At 34.8% G+C, this 27,797-nt stretch overlaps 1 protein-coding gene and 1 long non-coding RNA gene across 6 annotated transcripts in view; one reads left to right on the forward strand and one right to left on the reverse strand.

The window, feature by feature from the left end:
- FUT9 (fucosyltransferase 9) overlaps positions 1-27,797 on the forward strand; it is a 199,639-nt gene that overhangs the window by 19,955 nt on the left and 151,887 nt on the right. The window lies entirely within an intron of this gene.
- On the reverse strand, positions 2,228-26,942 carry LOC105377905 (uncharacterized). Of its 2 annotated transcripts, XR_007059689.1 has the most exons (4): positions 20,650-26,942; positions 18,796-18,848; positions 17,028-17,094; positions 2,228-2,386 (listed from the first exon to the last, which is right to left on the reverse strand). It is a non-coding gene; the product is annotated as an uncharacterized LOC105377905 (long non-coding RNA). The 2 variants fall into 2 exon arrangements; XR_007059688.1 differs by having other exon boundaries at positions 17,028-26,942.

Raw genomic sequence — 27,797 nt, forward strand, 5'->3', positions numbered from 1 at the left:
AATATAATATAATACATTATGTTTATTATATTAATATAATATAATACATTATGTTTATTATATTAATATAATATAATACATTATGTTTATTATATTAATATAATATAATACATTATGTTTATTATATTAATATAATATAATACAGTATTATAATTAAAATATAATATAATATTTAATAATAATATTATGAAAGTTCTCATCTGCAAAAGAATACTTTTGATTTTAGATTTCTTATATATTTTGAGCCAAAACCTTTATACTTCAGAATCGAGATTCTATATAAATACTAAATAGCTTAATATTTAAAACATAATTTTCATCCAAGATGTTCTTTAAAATAATATTTGAGTTAATTTTGTAAGGTTCTAAGCAGATTTCCATGCTGCAAGAGTAACAAATTATGAAGAGTAAATATATATCTGAAATTTGCTATTATAATTAAATAAAACCAAGAGCAATGTTAATCTGATACATTGAGTCTGTTCATGGTTTGCATAATCGTGATGGTGCAGATGATTATTAGACATAAATGCTAAGTAATTCACATAAATGACTATCAGTAGAATTACTTGGTTAAACTAACTTTTTGGGTTTTGTTTCTTCCCATTTTGTCAGTAGGGCCTTTAGCGGTGGTAACTTCCCCATAACATGTACATTTAATCATGATTGTTATTAACTCAAATATAACATAATGTAAATTGTTTCTTCCTTACAGAACCTTAAGTTTCTTTCACTGGAGAGCTCTTCAGTTCATCCATGAAGCTGAGTCCCAGATTAAAAACCATTGCTGTGGTTTGTCTGTATTTTGGTGTATCAAAGCAGACAAAAGAAAAGGAAAGCACCTCCAATCCATCTTAATAATCATCCCACCTTCCTTTCTGCTTTCATATGACATTTATTTAAACCAAGCTATAGCTGTGCTTCTCAAACCTTACAGTCCATGTGAATCACCTGAAGATATTATTAAAATGCAGATTCTTATTCAATAGATCTGGGTTGGGATGGGAGATTTCTAACAAACTCTTAAGTAAACTCCTACTCTGGAAACCACACTTTGACAAGCAAGGGTCTGTAAAACTAGAAAGCTAGAGGCCTTTTAGTTCATGGCTCTTAACCAAGAGCCTGCGAATCTCTGGGACATTTATCCACAGGTTTTAGGATTCTATGAGTCCCAAGAAATAAATGCAAAATTTTATATGTATGTGGGTATGGGCATTTTTTTATTTTCTGGAGAGTTAACAGTTATTAGCCTTTGTAAGAGGCTTATGAAGACCTAATTAAAATAAGTGGGTAGTGATTGAATCAGTCCCATTTTTAGATGAGTAAACTAAGGTCTAAGGAAGCTAAATTATCTGCGAGGTTCACAGAGTTTGTTACAAACCTAGGAATTGCATCCAGGTTTCTGGTGCCTAATCCAGGGGCTTTGATTGTACTAGACTGTCTTTCAAACTTTGATTTGAGAGAAATAAGTGTAATAATTCAGTAAATAAATTTAATAATGAAAGAACAAATAAGCAAGTGAACACATTCATGCATATGATCCTTTGAAGAGAAAGCATAAGAATATTTGGCCTGGATTAAAGAAGAAACTGATGGTATTGATATTTAATGACTTTGATATGGATGAAGTTGGGGAACAGCAAATACTGGAAAAAGGGGCAGCAAAAATGGAATTTAAAGATTAACCCTTGAGACTAATCTTTTTCTGGATAAAACTCTGCAAATGCTTAGTCATTAGTCATTAGTGTGAAAAAAAAATTTTTTTGAATGTTAAAAAAGAAAAAAAGACCCTTTTTATCTTCTCTGCAGAGAAATGTACTTATAAACAATATCATATTTTCATTAGCCAATTATACCTAATTGTGAATACAAAATGGCACAAGCACAAGTTCTTAAAATAATTACTGCAGTGATGAGTGAGGTGAATGTGACAGTGATTGATTTGTAATACCAGTGAAATGTGCACAGAAATACTGGCTAAGACTTTAAGCTGGGCTATGATTCTGAAGGTATTAGAAGTTTCCAGACAAGTGAGCTAACTTGAGCCTACTATAGACACCTGAAACATACACCTAATCCCTGCATCTTCACTGCAGGTGTGTGGTGCCTTGAACAGAGAGTGATGCTTCGGAGCGTTGCCACAAGGTCAATGGCTCCTAAGTAAGATGTATAAGATGACAACAGACAACTTCAGGTAAAAGAAATACAAAATATGTAATTACAACACTTTTAGGAAGGCATGAGTTTCCATTTAATTTCCAATTATGGAATCAAATCAGAAGAAGAGTAAAGTTTTCAAAAGAGAGGTTCAGAACGGTTGCACATATTCACCAGAGAGGATCTTCTGTCGTATCTGGGTCAGACGAATTCACTGCAATCTTGGAATCTGAAACATGAGTAATATTAGAAAACTGAGGCCATCTCAGGCTTCTATTAGCAGAACATCTGGCTAACCAAAACAAGCCAAAACCCATTTTTAATTCTTCTTCTTTGCCGTTATGCGTTAAAACTATAAAGTGAATTTGAAAAAGAATGTGGGAGACTATGAGGAAAATATAGGGTAACTTCCTTTAAATTTTTTCTATTATGCTTTTAAAAAATGTTAAGAATTCAGAAGAAATTTGGCATTTCTAGAAAAGCAGTTCTCTTCCAGAATGGTAGCTGGGGAAAAATATGTCCAATATGTTTCCCACCAGCTGCCAGAGATATATTTAAAATGCAAATCTGACTAGGTCCAATCTATTCTTCAACATCCATCAATGACTTTTAATTGATATCAGGATAGTGTTTGAATAGCTTTAAATGGCTTTGAACACTTTCTTAATCTAGTTCTTGTTTATGTCACAAATCTCATTTTTCACTGGTCCCCAGTTTCTACTTTAAGCTTTGGTGATACTGACCTGAATGACCTTCTTTGCACCATCTACATGAAAATGTGGCTCTTCTTTAGCTTATGCTTTCATTCTGCACAGAATATCCTCTTTGGCCTGGTTAATTAACCAAAAACTCAGGTGTCACCTCTTCCAGGAAAACTTCCCCAAACAACCAGCCTGGAATAATCAAGCCTCCCCTCAATGCTTCAATATTTCTACCTTAGCACTTAATGTATTATTCTGAAATTATGTTAGTGAACCTGCCCTTCTTTCTGCATTGAATAATCTCTAAGAGTAGATGCATGACTTTCCTTTTGGTACTTCTATCACTAAGCTTAGTGATGGGCACATAATTTACGCTCAGCAGATGTTTATTCAATTGAACTGAACATCATTCAGTTATATATATGTATACACACACACCCACACACACACGTATATGCCATTAGTGAAAACCAAGCAATGGAGTGCAATTAGTGCCAACTATGTGGAATGCAGGCATGAGACAAGAGAGGAACTTCACAGTCCTCAGAGTATGTTTATGGTGATAAACAACAATCACGTTCGTGCTTACTACCTATACTACCTACTCTCCATTAGCTCCTCACCAATTTATAAAAATGCCTGTAAGTTTCTACTGAGCCTATTATTTTGTCTTCGTTTTACACTGTGCACCCGCTATCTCATTTTTCTTCATTCTGTCTCTTGAACTTGGCAAGTTTTTTCCCACTTCAGGCCTGTGCATGTGATTTTTTTGTGCCTGGATTGCTCTTCATTTATCCAGGTCTCAACTCAAGCATTACCTCCTCCTCACAGGGGCTTCCTCAGTCACCGTATCATAAGTAGCCAAACCCGTACTTTCCTATTATTTATAACATCTGAAAATCTCTCATGTTGCTTATTATCTATCTTCTCTGCTAGCAGTAAGATAGCAGAGGACAGAGACCTTATCTATCTTTTTCTTTACTATGTCTCCTTCATCTACAAGAGTCCAAGCATTTAGCAATGAGCAATAAGTTGTGTAGACGTAATGAAATGAATAAATACTTCCTTTCCATGTGGGGTTTTCTTATAAAGTGTTTCTACAAGACTTTCTTGGCTTAAAATATGTTAGAAGCCCATGTCTCTTGGACTTTAAATTCAAACTATTTTTTTTTCTGTCTCTTTCCTTCTCTTTCTTGCTTGCTTTTTTACTTTCTTTCCTTCTTGTTTCAAGTATTTATTAGGCTCTCATTACATGTTAAGTAGCGATAACTAATTTATCATACCATGTATGTGACCTATGACATTATATAAAATTTTTAAATTTCTGACTTGTTCTGAATATTGAATGCTATATTGTTTGCAGTGATTATAAGTGATTGTCTTTGTTATCCCACTGCCTAACCAAGTGCCAGTGCTTAGTTGTTTAAATGGTCCATCTAGTTGAGAACCATTTAGAAGAACAAAACACATTCTATTTGAGGCACTGAAAATTTCAACTCAGGCCTACAATAAATTCATTTATTTATCCATCAACTCACTAGTGCAGTCATGTGGTCTAAAAAGAGCACTGCTTATTAGCTAGTATTCCACAAGTGAAAAGGCATAAGAGTGCAAAACCATGGTGCATTCCTAGAACTAGCAATCCTCGATATTCTTGGAGAATAAAGCTGGAAGTAGAAAAGGGAATGAAGAAGTAGAAGGTCATGTGACATTCAGAAGGATCAGATCAAAAAACACCTTTCACGACAGGCAATTGAGCCGGCATTTTATTTTGTCGGTGATCCTACTCTGTAGTATCCTGGCAATCAAGTAGAGGGTTGGAGTGACTAAACCCAGATACCACAGTTCAAAGAAAAGAGATGGGGAGAGCAAGAACAGTGCAGTGTGGATAGAGGGGAATCTATGTAAAAAGGTACCTGTTTTGGAGGTAGCATTATTAGAGCTTGAATGATGGAATGTGGGCATTGAAGGCCAAGGAGAAATCTAGGATGAATCCCTGGATTTGGCTTAGTGGTAACATTCACCAAGACACTGGAAGATGGCCAAGTTTGTTGAAGTTGATGTTATAGCAGTTTCTTTGTACTTGGCCTTTTTATCACTTTTATTTGTTTCTACTATTGTTTAAAGGGTTTAATGAGAGGGTGGGAAAGGAAGAGGAATTGATGCACTAGAATTCTCAGATTTGAGCCTACATGTGTCTTTACCTGTGACTGCCCGCCCCCTTTCCTCATCATCAGCTGCCCCATCTCTTATTTGTTCTGCTTTTCTCTAGGCTGGGCCAGTGTCCCTCCCGGTTTATGCCTTTCCCCAGTTTTTCTCTCCTGTGACCCATCTTGCAAAACACGACTTTGTACATGTATTTACACATCAGTGTCTTCCCCATCTAGTAGACTGCCAACTTCTTGAGGACAGGGTTTATGTGTCCACAAAGCAGCCAGCAGAATGCCTGATACACAATAAAATATTTTATATATTGAATTCTTATTTAAGTGTTCTGAAGCTAAGAAATTCAGAGTGATGGATTTTCTATTACTCAAGTTCTTCCCTACTGTGCTTGGTAGAATACATGATTTATAACTTACATGTAAATTTCATAAGCTTTGTGTAAATAATTCAAAATTAAATGTAATCTTTTACTGTTCCCTGAATGTAAACAGACATCTACTCATATTAAGGTAAATGATTTTATCTATGGATTTCCTTCCAACATCCCATTTCTATGCAGGAAAATAATGACAGTCTTTTAGAGCTACTGGCAGTGTGGTATGGAGAAATTTTACAAAACCAGCTGACTGCCCTTTAACTGGCCCTGAAATGGACTTGTGAGGTGATACATTTAGCTGTTCTGGACACTAGTTTTTCCTTCATAAAAGCATATGTCTAAGGGCATTTCCAGCTCCAAAATTCTTTGATCTAAGTGTTTTTATTTTCCCTTGTTGAATTTCTATTTAGGACATTAAACAATCTGTTGATATATCTACAGTCACCATTTCTGCCTCCTGTTAATCCCGATGAGTCTCCTCTTGTTACGGCCTAAACCTTTTATGGAAAAATATTATTGAAGGGTAGTGTTTTTTCTGTTATTGTTCTAATACAGAAATAAGAGAATTACAATTATTATTTGTAGTAAGTTATGTAGTCAGCACATTTTTGTTCTCTCTCATGTTTTTGCAACTAATGATGCTTTTCTCCTGAACTTTATCATCAAATTGTACCAATGTTATTTTCAAGTACTTGCCTCTGGAATAGAAACCATCCTATAACTTTCAGTTATTTCCAGACTCTCTGCTCAGTTCACTCCCCCACCATCCCGACATCCCTAGGTTCATCCTGGTCAGGTCAGTGAGAACTGGATGCCAAGCTGTGCCTGCAGTCACCAGAGCCTCCCACAGCCTCTGGGCAGGCATGGTTATGTCTATAGGGGCATCATCACAACCAGCAACTATGGACATGGAGGCAAGTATCAGAAACCCTAACCTTAAATATAACTAAGGGAATTCCCAGATAAGTGTTAGAAACAATGTCTGCATCTTGTTGCTTCGTATTTTAACTATTGTTTTTTCTTGGTGAACAAGTAGCAGATAGTTTTCCAGTTTTTCAATTTTATTATTAAAAATTTAAAACACATGGAGAATTTAAAAGAATTTAAAATGTGCCCACTACCTAAATTCTGTAACTACCATTATATTACATTTGTTCTGTGCTGGAATATACATCTAATTATTCCTGTAAATTCGTTTATTATGCATAGTAAATTGCAGTACACTTCCCCTGTATACTCCAGCATGCATATTATAAACTAGAGATCAATATTTTACAGCTGTTTTTTTTAGTTATTTAATGTAGACTTGAAAGATGGATATTCTAGAGATGAATCAAATCTTAGATACAATGAAGCCCCAAACCCTCCTTTTTTGGTCTTGTATTAGCCCGTTGGGTTTAAGTGTATTAGTCCATTGAGTTTTATAGATGTATTAACCCATTGAATTCTCACAACACCTCTGTGAGATACTTCCCATTATTCTGTTCATTTCACACATAAGAAAATTAGAGTTTAGAGCAGGTAATTATTAAGACTTAATTTATTAAGCTTCCTTTGTGCCGATAAACTATGTACTTAGCATTTAAAAGCTTCTATAATGGTGGTTATCTGCCATCAGTCTCTGGACCAATGGGTTTCTTGACTAAATTTTTATGAGTGTGGCAAAATAAAATACATTTTACCTGTGGTGAGTATTACATAAATTTAGATTTGATCAATTCACAAGATTGTCGTTTATTCTTTTTTTTGGTCTCACTCTGTCGCCCAGGCTGGAGTGCGGTGGCGCGATCTCGGCTCACTGCAAGCTCCGCCTCCCGGGTTCATGCCATTCTCCTGCCTCAGCCTCCCGAGTAGCTGGGACTACAGGCGCCCACCACCACGCCCGGCTAATTTTTTGTATTTTTAGTAGAGACGGGGTTTCACCGTGTTAGCCAGGATGGTCTTGATCTCCTGACCTCGTGATCCTCTCGCCTCGGGTCCCAAAGTGCTGGGATTACAGGCGTGAGCCACCGCGCCCAGACGATTGTTGTTTATTCTAAGGGTATAACTGTTATACATTATTTGATGTCAAATGACATTGTTTTTGTTAAGTTATAGTTACAATAGATGGCAGTCATACTTATTTGTTTGGTTGGTTGGTTGTGTTTGTTTTACTGCTCTTACTGGGAAAATGCCAATATTATTTTATTTGAACATTTTCTGTCTATAAAATCCCCAAATCTGAGAACTGTTGATTTATACTAGAAGTACATTATTAAGTGTCTTACACATTTAACTTCTCATTGAAGAAAATTAACAAAATTATAATTATTAGTTATTCAAGAGCACAATTGTTGTGAATGATTAATCTTCTTTGAATAGCATATTATTTTTTAATAGTTGGAAAGAATGCTCCCACAGGGGCTTTTTGTAATCTCGAAGGACGTAAGTCAGACCATCTCCAAGGTGCCTCCTCTGACACTTGACTCTCTTATATTCATATAAGTCATAGGAAAATCAATATCAGTAAAATAATAATCTTTTAAAAACCAACACATTGCTATCTGATCAGATCAAATCTGATCAACAGTTGCTAGTCTTTACAAGTTCAGGTTTCAGCCACCTTGAACCATCTTGTGGCCTTTGACTTTATTTGATTTTGTTGGCCTTAGCATCACTTTGGCTCAGGGTCACACTTTCAAAAGTAATGCTTGATTTAAAATATATGTAACAGTAACTGTATTTACATGTGTATTTGGGTAAGTGGTTGCGAGTGAGATGAAAGAACAAAAATACCATAGGCATTATAACTGACAAAATTTTTGTACATGTCCCACATTCAAAAAAATTAATACATATGTGTACAAATGAAAGCCTTTATTCTGGGTGATTTTTCCATTACCTATAATTTGCCTCTAAATTGAAAGAGTGATTCCTTGAGCAAAGATAGCATGACCTAAATAATTGTCCTTAAACCTGACTGTGATTCTTCATTGAAATTTCAGAATTTAATCATTTAACTTTTGTTGGCACAAAGAGACAGAACTAAATAGCAAACCCATTTGCATTTACAATTGCTCAGATTTGAGGGGAAATATTCCAAAAATCCATATCCTTTGAAAAGCTCTGCCATGCCTGATAAACTAAAGTAAACACAAAACATACAAATAAACAAATTGTATTTTCTAGCAGTGCTGCTGAATCAAATATGTAACTTATTTTCTTCTTATATTATTTGATATCTGTATTGACACAGAATCTCCAAACCAGCAAACCAGTAATAATTGAAACTCTTAGACTAGAAACTGGAATCTTGATCCACAGTTTATTCTGTGCTTTTTTTTCCCCCTGATTTAAACACAGCTGAAATTACATTATTTAGAGTCACAATCTGTGCTGTCTTCATAATAAAAATTATTTTTTATAAATACTCTTTTTAATTCCCTAATTATCATATTCAATGAGTCATATGAATTTTAAGTAATCTTTTATTATGCTAGGTATGAGAGTACTGTATAAATTAATCATTTTAATTAAGTAATGATGACAGGCTTAGTGTAAGTGAATTTACACTGTTTATTTTAACATTAATTACTGCTGATACATACAGCCTTATATGTTCTACCCATCATATAAATATTTAAAAATGCTTGATATGCCAGGTGACTGATTTCATTTGCTAAAGTTCGATAAAATATGGGGAGTCAATCTAATTTGGGTGACAGTGAAAGGGGTGGAGATTGACCAGGCTCACTGAACAGGAGAATGTCAGGATTTAGGGAGTTAAACATGCCACAGATGAATCCTTCAGCAGGACAAGATGGGCCAAATTGATTGATCTGCCATTATACTGAGGGGGCAAACCAAGAGGTGAGAATTGAAAAGCAAAGGCAAATAATGCTGGATTAAAATGACTGGTGGAAATGTCAGAGCAGGAGCTAAAGAACCAGCAACAATCAGACCAGAAGAAAGAAAAGTGGGTATTAGAGAAAAGCAAGAGCTGAAATAAGCAAGTTGAAGTATAAGGGAATAAGAGAAACTCTGAAAGTGCCAGACAAAATTTGGCCAGACTGTCATATGCTATCCCAGCTAGATTTTGTTTTATGTTGTTCCATGTGCCACATACATCTAGTTTCTGACATTATCATCTAATATAACCATTTTGTTGATTCCTAGATAATTTTCAATGACTCTCTTTATTAAAAATGAATTTTAAACCAGACACTTTAAGTGTTTAAATTACCTAAGTATCCCAAGACTGACAAGTAAGCAGTTGTCATCCAAGATAGCAAATACTATTGAAATTTGACTGGTGAGGCACAAAGCAGAGGAAGTGGGGGAGTAGCCCCTGCATGTGACTGTGTAGTTCCTGTAGAGAAAAGGGTGCTTGGATGGGAAAAGCTGGGGCTGAAACTCAGCTTGAGATGCAAGCCAAGCTTTGTGGCCTGGTCACCCTGGGGAAGTTATCACCATGCTGCAAGACTTCAGAGGAGGCATCTCCTTTCGTAGTTTGCCCATTCCTGGCGGGTACTTTTTTGCAGTTTGCCTAAGGCAGCTTAATGCAGTATGGGTGCCTCGAGGAGGAGGACAGCTAGTTGAACCTCAAAGAGGCCACCCAGGTATAAAATGCACCATGAGGTAGGGTATAATTTTCAGCTTTCCAAATACATCAATCTGAACTTGCTAAAGAAATGAGAGTAAATCAGTAGATTCAGCTTTTGAGCAGCTCACATTCTTTCTTTGTATGTATATATGTGGCTTAAAAGATTCCTTCAGTGTCTTATTTCATGTGGAATAGTATTCAGATCCCTTGATAAGCTCTACAGCAGTGTCTTTCAAAGTTGTTTTTTTTTTTTAACTAGGACCCAAAAGGGGAAATAATGTTTATATACCATGACCCAGTACACAGATATGCACACACACACACACACACACACCCCTGAAGCAATCATTTTATGAAAATTATTTTCTGAACGTATGCAATGCACTTTGATTTTTCTTATTCTTTTCTGTTCTATTTCATTTAAGAAAATTGTTGCATGTCACTGAATTGATTTCAAGGCCAACAAATTGATCACAGACCAATTTGAAAAATATTAACCTACAACTCCATTTAACATGACTCTAAGGTTTTTGGAACTTGTTGCTCCCTCTGCCTTAAACTGTCCATTCAGATATCTCTGCAGGAAAGGCTCCTTCCTTTCTAAGTTTCTACTCAAATGCCATTGCTTCAAAGAAGCTTGGACTTACCACCCATCCTGAAGACCTACACCCTAACTCTATGGACAATGATTTTCTTCACTTATTTGTTAACTTGTGTATTTCATGCCCCTTCCCACATGTGAACATACAAGCTTTGTAAGAGAAGAGAGCCCATCTTCTTCACTGCTGCTCCCCACAAATTCTGGCAACATGGCAAGTGATTAATGAAGATATATGTTTTATCTATCATATATGTACATCTGTTCCAAAATTCCAAAATATTATTTTACAGTGGAAAAGACCATTTTTATTCAATCTGGGAAGTGTTGTCAGCAGATTATTGTGCTTTCCTCTAAAGGAATGCTACATTTGAAAAAATTATCAGAGTGACAGAAATTAATCATGTATTTTGAGTTTAGTGGCAACCAAAAGAACATCTCCTTAATAATGCAATACACCCTAGTGACTAGAAAACTTTATCTCTGAAACTGTACACTTTCTCCTTTCTACCATGCTTAAATGGCAAATCCAAGCTCTATTTGGTCTTCACTTTTCATTAAACAGAGCAGAACCCAAGTTTTATATGACCTGAAGCTCATATGGTTTGGAGCCCCATTGAAGAATAGGAAATTACAAATACAACATGTCCTCACAGTGTCACCGAATGGAAATGAAAATGTTATGGAGAAATGGTAAGAACCAGTAGTGTTATCCAATTATAGTAGAAATGCCTCAGTTATGCAAATTTTATAAGTATGTGTGACCCTCTCAGGCCTCTCTCAGAAGCCACGAAAATAGCTATATTTAAGCTTCATTGGCTTCACAGGACATTTGCCTCTGCTTCTAGGTATACATTTAGTTACAAAATAGTTTTCTTTTTCCTGAAATAAAGTACAATTGTTACAATTTCTGTTTTCTGAGTTGCAATCTTATTTCTTTCTTCTTGAGATTGCTAACAAATTACTTCAATAAGAACTGTGGATATTTCACAAATCTTACTTCATACACTTAAAAACCAAAATTTTGGTTTTGTTCCTGAGATAGTTAATTACATTCATTGTATATGTACTTTGTGATTTTAGTTTCAGAAAGGAAATGCATTTCTCAATTACAGATGGCAGGAGCCTCACTCTCCTCCATCCTCCCTGCCTTCCCTACTCTAGCCCCTGACACCACTATAAGAATAAAACAAGGGTTACGATAGAAAAACAAAAACAAACATAGGTAATATGTGAGAAAATATAAGATGACTTAAGACAGGCAACAAGAATTAAGAAAGATTTCCTGAAATCTCTAGGGCATCAGTAGATGATTTGTAGAGGATGTATTAGTTTTCTATTCCTGCTATAACAAATTGCCAGAAACTTGGTAGCTTAAAGCAAGGTAAGCTTATTATCTTACAGTTATCTAAGTCAGAAGTCCAACTCAGGTCTTACTGGGATAAATCAAGATGTTAGCAGAGTTATATCTCTTTCTAGAAGCTTTTGAGGAAAATTTGTTTCCTTGACTTTTCTATCTTCTAGACGCTGCCTGCATTCTTTGGCTCATGGTTCTTCCTCCATTTTTCAAAGTCAGCAAGTTTCATTGCCCTGACCCTTCTTCTATAGATACGTTCCTCTGACCACAGCAAGTAAAGGGTCTCTATTTTTAGAGACCCATGTGATTATATTGGGCCCTCCAGAAAATCCAGGATATCACTTGATCTTAAGGTTTTTAACTTAATCATATCTGCAAAGTCTCTTTAGCCATATAAGGTAACATATTCACAGCTTTCAGGGATTCCCACCCAGACATCTTCTGGGGGATGGGGAGGTTCATTCTGCCTGTCAGAGTGGGTAAGTGGAATGATAAGTGCTAGGGAGATAAATTTGATGAAAATGAGCAGTAACATTGGAAATCATTACATGCCTACCACTGTTACTCAATGGGAAGTGTTTGTAGCTTGAGCTTGAGAAGAGAACTTTCCTGTGTAAGATGTAAGGAAGGATTGACAAAGAGAAGCAAGGTTTCCAAATTGGACAAAAGGATAAATGGTACTCCCATTCATGAAGTTGGGGCTAGAAGGAGAGAATAATGGAGAGTGAATTCATATTGTCATATTGATTTAAGTTCCTATGATACTTAATGCTACATCTGGGAGGAGATGAGTGTATTCTCATGGAACGGAAGCGAAGAAAAGAGATCGGCAGTGGATGCTTTGATTAGCATGTGCTCACTGATTCATCAAATGTTCCTGGACACGTCCTAAGTGCCAGTTGTGGGAAATGAGAGGGGGGGAACTGACCAAGTACAATTGGAACTGATTCAAAGTCTGATTTTCCTGAGTGGTGCATCTGCAGTAAAACCAGGTGTGGAAGAGCAGGAATGCTATAGTCAGCTTGTCTGCATTTGAATCCTGATTCTACTACCTTCTACTTGGGTAACCTTCAGGAAATTATTTACTCTCACTGTGCTTCACTCTCCTTTCTTCTGGGATAGTTATAATAATAAAAATGTTTTCTTCATAGTTTTGTTGTGAGTTCCTACATGTAAAATTATTTGAATAGTGCCTGACACATATTAAATAAATACTACTTATAAATATGAAAAGACAAGGGAAAATTATGGAATGGATCCTCTTGAAGTAAGGGTTTGATTGGTCTAAGTCAGAAAGTAATGGATAGGAAGAAGAGGCGGACATAGAGTCATCAAATCATCTCTTCCTTCCAAGGTTGTAGCCTTCTGGGTGCTGTCCTCTGGAATCCTTAGTTCTCAGGCTGCTTTTCTGGAGTCTCTTTCTAAGAATTATGCAAGCTAGCAACATTCAGTCTCCTGGCATGTCAATCATCAAAATGCCAAAACACATGCTGCTCACTGATAAAATTCAGTGTTTAAATAGAAGACTAAAAACATTTATACACAATTTACACATCTCTTTCTAATAAAGGAAGTATATCTTAGTCCTGTCCTTCTTGAGTGGGTAAACAACTCTTTCTTACATCTTCCACATCTCCTATGAGGCCATCCTGTTTCAAAGGCGAGGGCCAAGGTAAACTATCAGAGAGAGGTTTGAAAAGAGGTGGTTGGTTTTAATACTCATCCATTTGTATTAGCATGAGAATAAATGAGAGATCTACCAGACTCCCATGTTGGCCCCAAAATTTACAGCGTCTGGAGTGAGAAATACAAATTGGACAATAGTTTTGACTTTTCCTCCTCTTTAGACTCTGTTTTGCTTATCTTAATTATTTCTTTTGTGTTTTGAGCATCTCTGTTATTTTCATTCACAGAAAAGAGAGAACAAGAAATTTGGAATAATTATAACAAGATGATAATGAAAGGGTGAAGTTCGTGATATATGGGATTAGCTAACGTGGACTAAATAGTTACTATGTGTCAGGCAGCGTAAAATATGCTATCTGTCATTTATTCCTCATAATCATTCTACAGGGCAGATATAATCCTCATCTTAAAAATTAGAAAACTGAAAAATAAAATAACCCACTTTGTAGAAGTGGGTCTACCAGAATTCTCTGCTCACAAGGCATCTCGAAGGCCATGTGCAAACAGGGTTGCAAGGAATGGGTGCCTATGTTCATTTCACATCTCTCCTCTGCTCATATGCATGCTCCATCACCACACTAGATTTCAAAACACACTTTAAAAGATATAGTTATTAAGAATTTCAAGATGGCAGCAGCAGAGTATTTAATGAAGTGTAGGACCCTTCTGAGAGCAGGGACCTGTGTGAATGCACAGGTCACACACCCATCAGTCTGTCTCTGTGTTTACCCCAACCTAATTTGAGTTAAAATTCAATAGTTTAAGATGTTAAAATCACCATTTTAAAAATTTTGAACAGAAATAGGGTTCTGTTTACCATCATTCCATTTAATTAAAAATGCAATGCCTGTTTAGTTTGTAGTTTAGTTTTTCAGTCATGAGCAACTGCTCTCTTCATTATCTAACCCAGTGCTTTTCAAGCGATTCTAACAGAAGAGTTGTTTTCCTCTCAATTCATTACCAACTGATATTTTTGTGAAATACAAAACCACACAGTTGGATATCTTGCTCTTGTCAAATTGCTTTAAAAGTATTTAAATGCCTATCCTCTCTTTCTGAACTAATCTCAATGGGACTTGGAAATAAATAGTTTACATACCACACTTTAAGTAGCATTGATCTCAGAGATATCCTATGATTGCATTTTAATTATACAGATTATTTTTTAATGTTAATCTCAGTAAGAAACTGCTTAGAAAGATTACCTCAGAGTCTTTTAATTCATTTATGGATGATGCAGGGATATGTAGCTGTCAAGTCTCTTTTTCTTTTTCTTTTTACATTACAATGCAGTTTACTTAATTTATTTTGACAACTACTTCTAATTACTTAACGTAACACATTATATGGTAATAAAAACACTTAATAATGTAAGACCTCATTGCTATTTCAGATCAACTGAGTGATGTGTGCATATATTGTCCAGGCATTTGTGGCGTGGATCATGTCTCTCTCTCTCTCTGTGTGTGTGTGTGTGTGTATTGGGGCAATTTCTTCAGATAAATTTTTGGATTCTCCAATGTGAAGAGATTAAATTCCACGTGGAATGTGAAAAAAATGAGTAGTAAATATTGCCAATTCTCAGCTCTGAAAAAAAATGGCTAAACATTATTTTAGGTTACATTATATACTATATATTATACCTAATTTACATACCTGGCCTTTGTGGGGCATGCTTTTATAGGGCACTAGATTATCATGTCTCTTTTTCATTTTTACCCTATGAAATAGTAATAAAGGATTTTTAAAAACTTGATTCTTGATAATATAGATACTGTTACATGACTGACTTGAAATTCTTTTTGAAAACAATAAAATAGGCCAGGCATGGTGGTTTACATCCATAATCTCAGCATTTAGAGGCTGAGGTGAGAGGATTGCTTGAAGCCAAGAGTTCAAAACCAGCTTGGACAACATAGTGAGACCCCAACTCTAAAAAAAAATGAAGAAAATTTGCTGGGCATGGTGGTGTGTGCCTGTGCTCCCAGCTACTCAAGAGACAGAGGTGGGAGGATTGTTTGAGCCCAGGAAGTCAAGATTGCAGTAAGCTGAGATTCTGCCACTGCACTCCAGCCTTGGCAACAGAGCAAGATCCCATCTCTAAAAAAAATTAGTAATAAATAAAACTATAAAATAATAGTAAAATTGGTAAACTGGAAATTTGCAAATCAATATTATATATTAAATATGTGATTAAATACATGATTTGCAAACCAATATTATATATTAAATACATGAGTAAATATAATAAAATATTACATATTAAATACATGATTAAATACAAGGAATCTAATTCCTTGGATTAGAATTCTGGTGGTAAAGAGCAAGCATCCAGACCCACTTGATGTCTCTGAAAAAGGACTGCTGGTTTTCCACAATCTTTGAGAATTGTGGTTGGATTGGGAAGTATATTAGTTCCTTCTTAAGCTGCTATGAAGAAATACCCAAGCCTGGGTCATTTATATAGAAAAGAGGTTTAATTGATTCACAGTTCTGCATGGCTGGGGAGGCCTCAGGAAACTTACAATCATGGTGGAAGGGGAAGCAAGCACATCCTTCTTCACATGATGGAAGGAAGGAGAAGTGCTGAGCAAAAGGGGGAAAACCCCTTATAAAACCATCAGATCTCATGAGAACTCACTCACTATCATGACAAGAGCAGCATGTGGGTAACTGCCCCCAAGACTCAATTACTTCTCACTGAGTCCCTTCCACAACAGGTAGGGATTATGGAAATTATAATTCCAGGTGACATTTGAGTGGTGACACAGTCAAACCATATCAGAAAGTGTTACTAAAAAGAACTGAAATGTCTGGCCAATATTGTCACTCTTTCTTTCCATGATATTTATTCTCTGCTGAGTTCCCTGCATTTTATTCCCTAATTCTTTCACCCCATAGCTTCTTGGAAAATGCATCACAAGGTTCCAAGTATTTAGCAATTTCTGTTATTCATTAAGCACAGTTTATTTTCCTCAACTCCCAATTGATTAAGTCAAGGCAGAAAGAAATAGAAAGTTGGAAAGCCAAATCTCATGTGCTCCCTAACCTGGCCAGGTTGTGGCTCAAAGAAAATAGGATTAGGAAGGAGAACATCAGAGAATTTTCCAATGGAACTAACTTGGCTTCACTACAGATACTCAGATGTCAAGTGCCAGAAAGATGTTGGGGAAATGACTACACTATAATTAAAAGTTTCTAGTTTTTTGGCTATTTTACTAATCAAGATACTTTTTGAAACATTAAGAAAAAAAATCTGAAAAAAAAATTTGTCAACTTTTCTTCATGAAGGTGGTGTGGAGAGAAGAATAGAAGGGAAAGCTTAGAAAGCAAGTAAATATTTAATAAGGTCAAAACATTTAAAATATAAAAATAAAGTCTTGAAAATAATATTGTGTCTTCACCTTACTGTTTTTTTTTGTCTTCATTCAATCACCATCCAGCCATGCACACCACAAAGCCCAATCATCACTGAAAATATACCAAAAGGAAAGTAATTTTAAAATTATTTTTAATGCAAGTACTGAATCAGACTAATTAGCAAACCTTTATCCTGGTCTACTGAGAAAGATGTCAAAATAATTCGTATTTTCATCACAATAAAATTAAATAATTTTATACTTATTCTTCAGGGTTATTTTAGATTTTTAGGATTTTACATGTCTAAGAAGCATTAAAGCAAGGCATTTTTTAGTTCATTTGGTCATTTCACTTACTTTTGTAATTTAGAAACTTTAAATCTATTGTATCCAAAATACTATTAGAACTATGACTACATTAAATGGAAGAAGGAAGTCTTTCTATTTTCAATGAAAAAAAACTCCAACAACTGAACCTGAGCCTGAACCATTCAAACTTAAGAAAATAAATTTATAGGCCTGGTGCAGTGGCTCATGCCTGTAATCCCAGCACTTTGGGAGGCCGAGGCAGGTGGATTATGAGGTCAGGAGATGGAGACCCTCCTGGCTAGCACGGTGAAAACCCGTCTCTACTAAAAATACAAAAAAGTTAGCCGGGCATGGTGGCAAGCACCTATAGTCCCAGCTACTTGGGAGGCTGAGGCAGGAGAATGGTGTGAACCCGGGAGGCGTAGTTTGCAGTGAGCCGAGATCGCACCACTCCACTCCAGCCTGGGCAACAGAGCGAGACTCCATCTCTAAATAAATAAATAAATTTATTAACAAACATATTTAAATAAATAATCATTGCAGCACTGGCCAAAATATCATGTGTTATATGTTTTTTAGCAATTTTGCAAGGTTCTTATGGAAAGCTATTCGGTATTTGCTTGGCTAAACTAGTCAGATAAATTGTATATAATATTTATTTATAGTATTAAATTTTTGGTTTAGGGAAATTGTGAAATTATATTTGTGAACATAATACTATATGAGATATAAAATAAATAAATCAGGTAAATCACACATACTTCTAATTTTTGGATCTGTTTAATCTTGCTAAATAAAGCACAGGATGTCATAAGGTGTTGCAATAGAGTGTTGTTGTGGTGAGTGAGATGACAAGAAAACTAAATCTTCCACTGTTTCAAGGTCAGTTTCATCAAATGACCATATTTCTTAAGGTGTTTTTGGCCCAGGGATTTTGTCCTTTTAAGTCAAGATGAGGGGACAGATCCATTCACTCCTTCAATCAACTCTTCTTTACTAAGTCTTTACTCTGAGCTGGGTATTGTGCCCAGTGCTGGGGTTATAACAAAAATGAAAGAGATAGATATAGGTTGGTCCTTATGGACCATACAGTATGACAGCTGTTTACTGTAGTATTGGGCACTTTTACCCCAAGACCAAGTCCACATGCTAGTGTGTAATGTGAAATATGCTCTATAGAATTCATTTATTCACTCATTCATGTATTTAAGTCAGCAATTTTTGAGTAACTATTATGATCCAAACACTCTGCTAAACCTTTTGACTACAAAGATAAAAGAAAAGAAAAATCCTTCTGCACTTAAAGGATTTACAGTCTAAATAAAAGGGAAACACACATGACCATTAAAATTAAAAACAAAGGATATAAAACATGAATACAATGAATATCATAATGCAATGTAGCAGATAGATTCAAATGTGAAACAATCCAGCATACTTGAAGTTGGAAGTTTAGGCAGAAATATTGATATCAGCACATGGAAGAGCCCTAACCACATATTACCTTATAAACTTGTTTGCAGTCCTAATCCCTTTGTATTTCAGTACTTCATATGTCTGAAAGAGCGAGAAAAAAATAGTGCATATATCACAAGGTTTAAAAGTGAGCATTAAATGTAATAATATAGGTAATGTTCTTATAAGAGTGCCTGACACATATTACATACTAAAGAAATATTAGTGGTCATTTTCATTTTTATCCTTTCTGATTTTGTGTTTGTGATTTCCTTTTCTTCATTAGATTTCCAAGGATTCTTTAAATTAATTTTCATTATATCAATAATTATGCCCCTTGATTTAGTAATGAAATACATTGTTTTATTGGTTATACCAACAAACAGGAAAAATACGAAGATATTGTTTAATATTTCCAAATTCATTAAATTCTGCTCTTATTTAATACTGTATTTTTCCTTCTGATTAATTGATTTATAAATTATGAGTGGTCTGCTTAGTGCATTGATTTTTCATTCTTATTTAATAATGAAAACATTTAATGTTACACATTTGCCTTTGCATATAGCTTTAGTGATGTGATATAATTTTGATGTGCAGCATCCTTCTGCTCAGTAATTTATGAATACATGTGACTATACTTTTAATTTTTATTTGACCCAATAACTAGGATAATAATTTAAATCTCGAGTTAATGGCTGTTTGGGGTTTGTTTTTTTTCTTTACGTTTTTCCTGTTTGAAAACCATTAAGTTAATTTCAAATTTTAGTGTATCTTTGTCAAAGATTATATTTAGTATATGCAATATCTGCTTTGGTAATTTATTTAGATTTTAAAAAAATCTTCTCTTTTTTTCCTTTTTTTTTAACTTTATTGTTCAAGGGTAAATGTGCAGGCTTGTTACCTAGGTAAACATGCATCATGGGGGTTTGTTGTACCGGTTGTTTCTTTATGGTGTGGTCTGTTTTCAGTTACACAGACTATAGATAATTGTTTTTTGTTTTCGTTTTTGTTTTTGTTTTCTATTTCTTTTTCTTTTTTTTTTTTTTTCCTAGAGATAGGGTTCTGCCATGTTGGCCAGGATAGTCTCAAACTCCAGGCCTCAAGTGATCTGCCTGCCTTGGCCTCCCACAGTGCTGGGATTAAAGGTGTGAGCCACTGACCCTGGCCGGACTCTAGACATTTGAAAAGAAATTTACCACTCTATTACATAAAGTTTAGTGTACAGTTATTCTATTTCTAATATAATTTATTATTTGTCTTCTATGTTGAAACAATTTATCAAAATATCAAAATAATATTTGAAGTAGTATATCAAAGTCTTGCATTTTAGTCTTGCATTTGAAGTCTTCTTCTATTTCTATCTAGCTTAAGTTCTACTTTTAAAAAAGAATTTATATTTTAGATATGTTGAGTTTCTGCTGCTACTTGAAGTTTCATGCTTGTTATACCTTCGTTATATATTCTCTTTTTCTGCATAAAATGACAATTTGTATCTAATTTAATGCTTTCTGCCTTGGACTCTATCTTGTCTAAGACTAAAATAATGATCAATATCTGCTTTCAACTTTTCAAATACCCACATATCCTTATTTCCCATTGAGTGGGGTAGAAAAAGACAAATAGAATCTGGTTAGTCTCTATGGCAAAGTCATACATATGAGATCTAGAAACATTTTTCTTTTGCCAAGGGCATTAAAATGGCAGGTGGAGAATCAGTACTACAAACAGGCATATCTGCTTTTAGTTTTCTTTTATTAATTGTTTATGTAACTTATACTAGACTGCTCATGATCAATAAAACATGCAGGAAGTTACAAGACCTTTTTCCATGACTATCACTAATTCAGTCAGGGTATTAGTAGTGAAGAAGAAAACACAATCTCAATATAAGCAAATATACCTAGTATCCAACAAAATAAGCTCTCAGCTGGGTGTGGTGGCATGTGCCTGTAGTCCCAGGTACTTGCGAGGATGAAGCAGGAGGATCGCTTGAGCCCAGGAGTTCGAGTAGGCAGAGCTATGATCGCACCACATCCAGCCCGGATGACAAAGCGAGACTCCATCTTTAAAGGAAAAAATAAAAAAAAAAACCTAAGCTTTTAAAATTAGTCATCTAATGAACCACTGAATACGATAATTATGTCTTACATATTTACAATATACACTCTCTGACTTAACGATGGTCTGACTTGGGATTTTTAAATTTAAGATGGCATAAAGGCACATGCATTCAGTAGAAACCGTACTGCAAGTACCCACACAACAATTTTAGTTTTCACTGTTAGTGTTCAATAACTTACATGAGATATCCAATACTTTATTATAAAATAGGCATTGTGTTAGATGATTTTGCCTACTCTAGGCTAATAAAAGTGTTCTGGCAAAGCAAGCTAGAATGTTTGGTAGGTTAGTTGTTTAAATGCATTTTTAAATCATGACATTTTCAATTTATAAAGGGTTTATTGGGACATAATCCCATCAGAAATTAAGGGACATCTGTATGTAATTCTTAATTGTGGATAATAATAATAAAAGAGAGGTTGGATAGATGAAAACAGCTACATTTCATGTTTTACTATCAACCTTTTATTTTTCTCATGCTTCAATACCTAGAAGAGTGGTAAAATATTGCAGTTTGAGTGTCTACTTCTTTATTTTATATCTAACATTAGGAAGTGCTAAAGTGTGGAAAACCAGACAATTCTGGAATGCAGAGGGAGGAGAGAAAGCTCCAGTAAGCTACATGCTTCAGACATAGGCACTGAATAATAAAGAAACAGAAAGAAATATAGAAACTGAATTGCTAAGGCACTTTTATTGCCACTCCTAAGAAACTCAACATTATCAGCAGTAGTAATGGCCATCATTTATACATGTTGATTTTATAAACTTATTTTTTTTAAAGTTCTAAATTGCTCTCTCTCCACTCCCTAAAGCTGGATTAAAACCTATTGCTTCCAAATGCTGAATTAAGGAAATTCTGTGCCACAATTTTTGCTACAGAAAATTAGTGTGAGCACAGAACGAAGAGCAATCTTATATGCATAGGAGCCTGCTGTTGGAGAAAGCTCAATAAGAGACATCAGGAGGTTTGGCTTCTTTTCAGAGGACTTAGGAAGTTTTGATACCTAAATGATATAACATAAGACTAACTTTTGAAGTAAGTGCTAAAACTATTTATATATACTAGACAATTTTCTCAAGATTTGTCCTTTTTGTCTCTTAGACTCTCACTAAAACTCCGTCATCAAGTTGTAATTCACACATGTAGACAAGCCTTCAGCCTCTCCAAACATTTTTAAAATCTGTAAATTCAAAACATTTAAAAAGAAGACACATGATCTCATCTGGACTGCTGCTTGATCTTGTTTGATATTCTTCAGCACTCTACTTTTTATAACGGGTCAATAGCAGACGGGCGGTAACTGATCTCCTTATTTCAGAGCTGAAAACACAAGGCACTTTGCGTTGGGTGCAGTTCTATTCTGTTATGCTACTCCCGTTTGTCAGTAGGTAAAAACTTTTCCCATTCCCCAGAAGGCAGTACTTCTATGAATAGTTGCTTTAGACAAGCATTCATTGTTCAAAGGGTTTGATTCCTCACTGAGCAAAAGCTACAGCATTATAAAGATGCCAGTTGAAATTTTTTTAAGCTTGAATTTTTTAAAGCTAGAAAGGAACCCTCACTGTTGGGGAAGTCATGAAAGAAAACCCCTTTTCACAAGCCCTGGAACAAGTGGATTAAGAGAGTAAGAGTAAAAGTGCAAAGACTGGGAACCTGGCTTTATTCCAAAAAAAAAAAAAAAAAAGCCAGAAAAAAGCCACAGTTAGAAGTAATTGAACACTTTGGAAATCCCTTTGAAGACCTAATGCAGTAGAATTTTTTGAAATGAATAAAAGCTAAATGCATAATAATTTCAGGTAAAAAAATACAAACGAATGTTTGAAGAACCAAATAATAAATTTATAAATGTTTAACGCAGCGGGACCTAGCAGTACCAACCTTTGATAATGTATGGTAAGCATTAGCAATGTTGTTACTTGGAAAAGACAAATTAAAAACCTGGCAATCTTACCTCATGTTGTTTTGTACTTTGTATACTTGGCTTGGTTTATAGTGATGATATTATCTGTACTGATTATACTTGTTCAGTAGAATTTTGTACACTTGCAAATGGAATTTTTAGACACAAGAAACAAGGTACAAAAATTGCCTAACTACAAAAATTTCTCCCTCTTTTATATTGGGACTAATGATATGTTAAACAATCTGATGTATCACTTTAGAAAAACAGTAATGGCAGTTGCATTTGCCAGGAAAATGTTACAATAGATTTTAGCTCTCTTAATAGAACATAAAATATTAGTTTTTAATATCTTGCTATATGTGGTGTTTTTAAATAAAAAGGCATAGAAATCATTGATATTTGAAGAATGTTGATATAAAATAATCTGTGTGGAGGATAATGTAGGTTGTGAACTAAAACGGAAAAAGCCCCAAGAGTGTATATCACACTAAAGAAGAGTGTATTTTCTGCTAAATGGAGTATAGAATGTTGTGCATTTAGTACATAGGACATATGCTTGCAATCCTCCCCTAAATATCCCAGTGGTTTCTTTGTGCAAGTTTTCTTTAGACTCATTTCTCCATCTTGATCTGTGCTGACTCCACGTGAGGTCAGTCAGAGAATAATGTTAGTCCAACCACTTGTGTGCACACCTGCATACACACATACCAGAAAGTTAATGTTGTTTTACTTTAAAGCAGTGATTTTACTCTGGACCATGTGTATGTGGCAGAAGGATGATAGTGACTTGTACATAAGCATCTACAGAGGAGGAATAACTGATATGTATGGTGGAGTTTGACAGAATCCTGGATCAGGAAAAATAACAATCTTAAGGTTGGAGGAGATTTTTAAAATCATCTTGACCAGCTATCCATTTCATTACATCATTCCTCACTCTGAGGCTCATTTCTAACTGGTGTTACCTTGGAAGATGACTAATTTTTAGTGCTTGTTTTGAATTTAGTTTGTGGAATGATTTCTCAGCTTGCCCCATAATATCTACTCTGTACAGAAAAATGTTATCCCTTTTTCTTTGCAAAGTGTGAATATAAAGCAATGAGGCTGTTTTTCTTTTATGAGTCATATCCGGTCTCTGAAAACAGTTCCTAAATTGGAGTTGCCAAAATATTTCATGTCATGGAAGCATGGTTAGAATAGGCTTATCAAGGTGAATTTTCTGAATGGTATTTCAGTACTTATTTTTATAGTCTCATAGCTCTATAATCACATGTTGAATGGGATTTTAATACTAAAAAAGAGGATACATAAAAACACATTGTGTCTATTATCTGCATAGAACAATCGCCTACTTTCTTTATTAATAGATCTTATTTTGTGAAAGCTACACCTTACAAAATTTTATCTTGTTCTCACCTAATTATCTAAACACAAGGAATGATCCTGCTCTGAATTAAACCTTTCCATTTAGTGTCAAACTGAACAGATGCAAACTCACTTATGGGGAGCCATCCTTTGGAAATAAACTCTTTAATTCAAAAAATATCTAATATTAGAATATTCCACAGAATATGAACACCTACTTAAATTCATTTCGAGTACCAAAGAATATTTCAGTAATAACATTTACATACTAAATTAAACTTAATTATACAGCATAAAACATTTATAACCATTAAATACAGAACAATTATTTTGAATTGTTAAGTGCTTCCAACATCATTGACATAATACATTTTTTGAAATAATGATGTAACCATTTAAGTAAATTTTTATATTTTATTCACATTAAAGTTTATCTGTAACATTAAGCATAACTTTTTTCTTTTCTCTCTCTCTTTTTTTTTTTGACATGGAGTCTCTCTCTGTCACCCAGGCTGGAGCACAGTTGCGCTATCTGAGCTCACTGCAACCTCTGCCTCCCAGGCTCAAGCAATTCTCCTGCCTCAGCCTCCCCAGTAGCTGGGGTTACAGGTGCCCACCACCACACCCAGCTAATTTTTGTATTTTTTTGTAGAGACAGGTTTTCACCATGTTAGCCAGGCTGTTCTCAAACTCCTAACCTCAAGTGATCTGCCTGCCTGGGCCTCCCAAAGTGCTGGGATTACAGGCGTGAGCCATGGCACCTGGCCAGCATACTTAACCTTTACAGAGGCATTTTTAGCTGGACATTTACAGCATTTAAAGGATGGAATTCAATTAATAAAAAAGACTTTTTATAACATTGAAACAGTGAGTTTAAGAGAGTAAATCTGTTGCCATTTTAGTTAGTTTTGACAAAGCAAATATTATAAATGGCCAAATACATAAGCCTGTTATTACACATTAAAATGTATCCTATATTTAATGAGCATTAAAATTGAAGTTTACTAGTAATTCCATGGGATATTATTATGAAGTTATAAGAATAGGAGAGAACTTATAGTTTATTTCTGTCTCATTTTAGGATCTTCCTATTATGGCACATGAATTTTAATCGACTTTATAATGGTGTCATTGAAGCAGAGTCTATGATATTATCATTCTAGTATTTAACTACATCTCCCCTTAAGAATGATTTTATCACCCATTATTCTTTAAACCTCTCAAGATACTTCTTAGGCTCTGTTCTCTCTGGAGTTGTGTAAATTCTAATAATCATAACATATATTATTATCTTAGAAGTCATTAAGTCTTCTCTTCTTTATTTGTTTTTAGTATTCCTAGTTTCTCATGGGTATAGTTTTACAAACGCTTTCATTCTTTGTATCAGTTTTCATTTCATATTTGCCTTTCCCAAAAATGCATCAAACTGCTTCCTTTTTTATTTTCTTGTTTCCCATGGGGTTGGTAAACTCCTTCTTAAAACCTTACAGTAGACTTATGCAAAGTCTCATGGAATTTTTAATGCTTTTTATATTTTTTTCTGATTTTATTTTGTTAAACTGATCTCCACTATGATTCTAAGATCTTTTTCCTCTTAGACTCATGTAGCTGCCCATCTAAGCCTTGTAAGTCCTGTTCTTCATTCAAGTGGTGTCTAGCTACTTTTCATTGTTAGCATTATTTATACTGTAATTCTTTCCTCTCTGGTGCTAATTACCCAATCACAATAATCATCAGCAAACTCAGAAAGCTCTTAATCTCTCCTGTTTTATGTAGAGGGATTCTCCCAGAGTACTTCTTTCCTGAGGAGGCTTAAGAGAAAAACTGAACCAATGCCACTACTGACTTACAGAAAACAGAAGCAGAATTACATATTATTTTGTCTTATCTGATCCATACTTTGGAAGTCAATTCGATCTTTACCATTCCCATGGATTGGCTTAATTAACAATATTTTATTTTATAACTATACCAGGGTTTGTATAGTATATGATACTATTCAAAGAAATACCTAATGCAGATGACGGGTTGATGGGTGCAGCAAAGCACCATGGCACGTATATACCTATGTAGCAAACCTGCATGTTCTGCATGTGTATCTCAGAACTTAAACTGTAATAATGAAAAAAAGAAAAAAATCTGAAAATATATATAAAATATTTAAAGCTAGAAAGTAACAAATAGAAATCAAAATAGTAATATAATTATTAAAACTATAGGAAGGAAAAAGATATAGGAAGTAAATGAGTGAACTAAATCTTTACTCTCTATAGCTGAGAGTCAACCAATGATATTCAAGTTGATAAACCAAGAAAATATCAGTAAAATCATGTTATTTGGAGTTATCTATGTAAATAATTGAATGAGAAAACAAACATTTAACCTCTGGAAAACTTGTTTAGGAATGCAAAAGAACAGAGAAGGGAACTTTGCTTTTTGTTTTATGTCATTCTCTAATATTATGTTTTTTTCCCCATGCATGTGTATCTATTGACATTTTTAGATAAATATGATAGATAGATAAATAGATATATAGATAATAGGAAGGGAGGGAGGATAGGATGGAGAGAGGAAAACCTACATACCTAGGGTTTAACACTGCATAGTGAAATTTCAGAAGATTTTTTTCTTCTTTATACCTTTTTGTATGGCTTGGATATTTTACAATGAGTAGGTAATGTTTTTATAAAAATAAGAGGAAAATAAACTGTTTCCCCTTTGTAAAAAAAGAAAATCTTAAATTAAAACAAAGATCAACAACAAAACAACAACAAAACAACAAAAAGATCAAAAACAACAAAAAAGTGCCTTCAGTTAAATGATCTCTTTTAATACTGGAGAGAAAAAGAGTTAAAGTAGCTGGCCTATAATCCATTCACTTACTTTCTGAGGAAACAGAAATGGGGGTGTTGCTGGAATGATGTGGAGCAGGGAATTTGGTGTAATTTCCTTGTGAAAAGATAATGACTAAACCTCCTCGTAAATGAACTAATAGTATTAGAAGAAAAAGATACCTTATCTATGAAATACTCTTAGCAGGATGTTCCTGGTTTAAGGTTGCTTATAAAACATCAATCCAGAATCTGTGGATTTATGGAAAATGAGAAATATAAAAGCTGGCTGACAATTTAGGGTGTATTAGGCCATTCTTGCCTTGCTATAAACACCAGAGGCTGGGTAATTCTTAAGAAAATAGGTTTAATTGGCTCACGGTTCTGTATGTTTTACAGGAAGTATGGTGCCAACATCTGCTCAGCTTCTGGGGAGGCCTCAGGAAGCTTACAATCATGGCAGAAGGCAAAGGGGGAACAAGCGCATCACATGGCAAAAGCAGGAACAAGGGAGAGAGTATGGGGGGCACACTTTACAACAATCAGATCTCATGTGAACTCAGAGTGAAAGCTCGGTTATTACCAAGGGAATAGCTCAAGCCATTCAGGGGCATTCGGGGGCATGATCCAGACACCTCCCACCAGGACCCACCTCCAACACTGGGGATTACATTTCAACATGAGATTTAGGCACAGACAAATATCCTAACTCTATCATGGGGTATGAAATGTAAATATTTAATAACTTATGCTTCACTGTTTTGTGAGATAGATGAAGGCAATGAAGCATTGCAGGGTCATGGATGGATAAAGTTACTGGATCT

Source organism: Homo sapiens, chromosome 6, assembly GCF_000001405.40.
Source record: "Homo sapiens chromosome 6, GRCh38.p14 Primary Assembly".
In the NCBI taxonomy this organism is placed as follows: Eukaryota; Metazoa; Chordata; class Mammalia; order Primates; family Hominidae; genus Homo; species Homo sapiens.